General features: G+C 51.2%; 1 annotated feature.

The window, feature by feature from the left end:
• Positions 2021-2221: a silencer, noted in NCBI's record as "peak2228 fragment used in MPRA reporter construct". NCBI's record gives its function as "represses an SCP1 promoter by STARR-seq MPRAs in K562 erythroleukemia cells {active_cell/tissue: K562}" and the evidence as "EXISTENCE:reporter gene assay evidence [ECO:0000049][PMID:32103011]".

The raw sequence follows: 4203 nt of genomic DNA, 5'->3' as shown, positions 1-4203 counted from the left end.
AGGCTTTGTCACCCCTCAGTAGGTCGCAGTCCCCCGCCGTGGTGGGGAGGGGACACACACCTCCCCAGCTGTCAGCAGTCGAGCTGAGACAGCATCTGTAACCCATGCCTTTTCAGGGAGAGTCCATCAATCGCAGTGTTTGAAGAGGGAGATTGGCTCCTTGGAGGACATGACAGTGAACCTGGGCCTGGAAGGACCAGTGTTGTCTGTGAACCTTGGACTTACCAAGTGGGACTCTCTGGGGCAGGGGCTGGAATTCTGTGTCTGTAACAGCAACTTGGCTGATTCTGAAGGGAGGCACCCCAGGTTGAAGGTGCATCTGGAGCAGAGGCCCAGCAGGGGTCTGGCAGAGTGTGTCTGGGGGACAATGCATGGAGCTGTGCAGTGGACAGGGAGAAAACCACAGGTAATAGCCCTGGGAAGGAAGGTGCATGGGGTCGAATAACCAAACGAAGGAACTAACGCACAATGTGGCATGCCCACGCGCATACAGCTGCAGCCCGTGTGGGCATGGAAGATCCCACAGGCCCCTACTTATCAGAATCGCTTCTTGGGAGGTATCCCGAGCCTATGGATTTTGACCAGGTGAAGGCCTCCCGAATACCCAGGAGAGGAAATTAATTAAAATGCATCACGGCTGGGCGCGGTGGCTCACACCTGTAATCCCAGCACTTTGGGAGGCCGAGGGAGGCGGATCACGAGGTCAGGAGATCGAGACCATCCTGGCTAACACGGTGAAACCCCATCTCTACTAAAAATACAAAAGATTAGCCAGGCGTGGTGGCAGATGCCTGTAGTCCCAGCTACTCAGGAGGCTGAGGCAGGAGAATGGCGTGAACCCGGGAGGTGGAGCTTGCAGTGAGCAGAGATCGCGCCACAGCACTCCAGCCTGGGCGAAAGAGCAAGACTCCGTCTCAAAAAAAAAAGGCATCAGGCCGGGCATGGTGGCTCACACCTGTAATCTCAGCACTTTGGGAGGCCAAGGTGGGCAGATCACTCGAGGTCAAGAGTTCGAGACCAGTTTGGCCAACATGGTGAAACCCCATCTCTACTAAAAATACAAAAATAAGCCAGGCATGGTGGCAGGCACCTGTAATCCCAGCTACTTGGGAGGCTGAGGCAGGAGAATCACTTGAACCCGGGAGGCGGAGGCTGCAGTGAGCTGAGATCGCACCACTGCACTCCAGCCTGGGTGACAGAGCGAGACTCTGTCTCAGAAAAATAAAATAAAGTGCATCAGTATGTTCATCAGCTGGCCGAACAGGTGGACCTATTTGACGCTGCGAGGTAAGTTCTGTTACCACGTGCGAGGTAAGTTCTGTTGGGAGCTGAGAAAGACAGGCCTCCAGAATGACATGGGGCAGAACTGGAAGAGAAAACTTGGCCGATTAGGCCATTGTGTCCATGGGGGACTGCCCAGGAGGCAATCAGAACACCGAATGGGGGAATCCAGTCATTTGTGGCTTGCTGGGTGGAAGGTGCTGGCTGGGGCATCGGGAGGCCGGGGTTCAGTCCTGGGCTTACCACCCTCTGCAAGTGGGACTTTGGTTGGTTCTCTGTCTCTGTTTGGGACCAAATTCTTCACCTATTAAGTGGGAGCCTGGGGCTGGGTGTGGTGGCTCATGCCTGTCATCCCAGAACTTCGAGAGGCCAAGTGGGAGGATCACCTGAGGCCAGGAGTTCAAGACCAGCCATGGCAACATAGCTGGACACTGTCTCTACCAAAAAAAAAAAAAAAAGTGGGAGCCTAGACCAGTTATCTCAGCATAACTTTCCAGCTCCAAACATTAAGAAAACCAGCCTCATTCTACCTCTTCCTTGGGAGGACTCTGGAGAAACCCTGGGTGTGGCAGGGTTTTCTCCCTGCCAATATGCTTGGCATTCAGGAAGAGCAGGATGTCACTGAGGCTCTTGCCGCCGGCGCCCGGGCCAGGAGGCCTGCAGGCCCGCCTGGAGCAGGTGAGGATTCAGGATGTGAGTGGGTTTTTCCCTGAAGCTTCTCAGGCCAGAGCCGAGGGAAATATCAGCATCCTGGCAGTTTGCCACCTGAGTCAGCCCAGCTTTGGCTCATTCGAGGAAAACTAACTGCAGGAAGCTAGGAAGTCTGATGTGTGGCAGGATGTGTGTGTGTGTGCGTGTGGGAAGGCGCATGCCCTTGTATGGGCCTATCCATGGGAAAGGGTTCACAGGTGTGCGATGCTGGCATTCGTCTGATACATACCATCGTGGCCATAACAGCCTTAAAATATTCTAAAGCTTCCTTACCTGCTGGTAAAAGCCACCGGCCTCAACACCCCCTGAGGGCCCCCTGCTGCCCCAGCTCCCTCCCTGGACCCCTGGGACCTCCCCCATGAGCCTCCAATTGAAGGGTTAACTCTCAACCCTGCACCAGCAAAAGCAAGAGAGTGTTCTGGTTGGTGGAAAGAACAGGGGACCCTCCCTGTTGTTACACATCTTGACAATTGCCCTGTGACTATGTACATGTGTGTATGTCCATGTGAAGGTTTGCATCTTCAAGCTCATACAGGCCAGCTTCACTAGAGAGCCTGTCACTCATCTCACCACAGCAGTTTAATAAAAGGTGTCCCCTTCCATGGTTTCAGAGGAAGGAGTCTGAAGTTTGGAGGCAGGAGAAAGGGGTTCCCTGCCCAGCAGGGCTCAGGGGCCCAGGTAGGAAAAGTAGCTCAGAGAAGCTGACAACCTGCCGAAATCACTCAGCTAGTAAAGAGAGGAGCTGAGGTTTGAACCCAAACATCCTGGATTGCACTAAGCCTGGGGTTTTATACTCTGAATCAGCCTGGGGATGAACAGCAGCTGCACCTCAGCTCAGCTTCCCAGCTTGCAAAGGTTTCTGACATCTATGGAGCCTCCCAACTCATTCATTCAGTAGGTGAGGTCCTGCGAGCCTAAGTGGCAGAGCCAGGGCTCAAACCCAGATATCAGTGACTCAGTGACTGGGTTCTTAGCATTGTCCCCACAGGCAGCAAAATGGGCACAGGGACTGTGGGGCACAAGCTATCTTCTCACTTGTGATATGCAGCATCACACACACTGGGCCAGCATTTTCTTAGGTCACTGAAAACCTGCTAAGATGCATGTATCACTGACCAAAACAAGGGAGACCAAAAGATGGGAGCAACCCAAATGTCCGTCAACTGATGAATGGGTAAACAAAATGTGGTATGTCCAGACAGTGGAATATTATTCAGCCATAAAGAGGAACAAAATACTGATACCTGCTACAATGTGGATAAACCTTGAAAACACCATGCTAAGTGAAAAAAGCCAGACAAAAACCACATATGGTATGATTCCATTTATATGAAATTTTCCGAGTAGGTAATTCCATAGAGGCAGAACACAAATTGGTGGTTGCCAGGGGCTGGGAGGAAGGGGGAATGGGGAGCGAGCGGTAATGAGCACAGGGGTTTCTTTTGGGTGATGCAAATGTTTTGGAACTAGATAGAGGTGGTGGTCGTACAGCACTTTGAATGTACTAAATGCCATTGCATTGTACGCTTTAAAATGGTTAATTTTATCTTATATGAATTTCGTCACAGTTTTTAAAAAAACAAGGGAGAGGCTGGGCACAGTGGCTCACGCCTGTAATCCCAGCATTTTGGGAGGCAGAGGCAGGAGGATCACTTTAGCCCGGGAGTTCGAGACCAGTCTGGGCAACATAGTGAGATCCCTCCTCTATAAAAAATAAATAAACAAACAAATAAATAAAAACAATGGGCCAGGCATGGTGGCTCACGCCTGTAATCCCAGCACTTTGGGAGGCTGAGGTGGGTGGATCGTGAGGTCAGGAGATCAAGACCATCCTGGCTAGCCCAGTGAAACCCCATCTCTACTAAAAACACAAAAAATCAGCTGGGCGTGGTGGCACATACCTGTAGTCCCAGCTACTCAGGAGGCTGAGGCAGGAGAATTGCTTGAACCCGGGAGGCAGAGGTCGCAGTGAGCTGAGATCTTGCCACTGGACTCCAGCCTGGGCAACAGAGTGAGACTCCATCTCAAAAAAAAAACAAAAAAACAAAAAAACAAGGGAGAAAGGCAATTATACTGTAATATTTTAAAATAAAAAAGCTATAATGTATTAAATTTTGCTATATGCTAGACTCTATAAGAATACAATCAGAACAACATTACATTAAAGCCTCTTGGGTTCTGCCTTGACTCTCCAGCCAGGACCATTCCTCC

This window comes from Homo sapiens, chromosome 14 (genome assembly GCF_000001405.40).
Source record: "Homo sapiens chromosome 14, GRCh38.p14 Primary Assembly".
Classification (NCBI taxonomy): Eukaryota; Metazoa; Chordata; class Mammalia; order Primates; family Hominidae; genus Homo; species Homo sapiens.
This window is presented reverse-complemented; position numbering and strand designations above follow the sequence as displayed.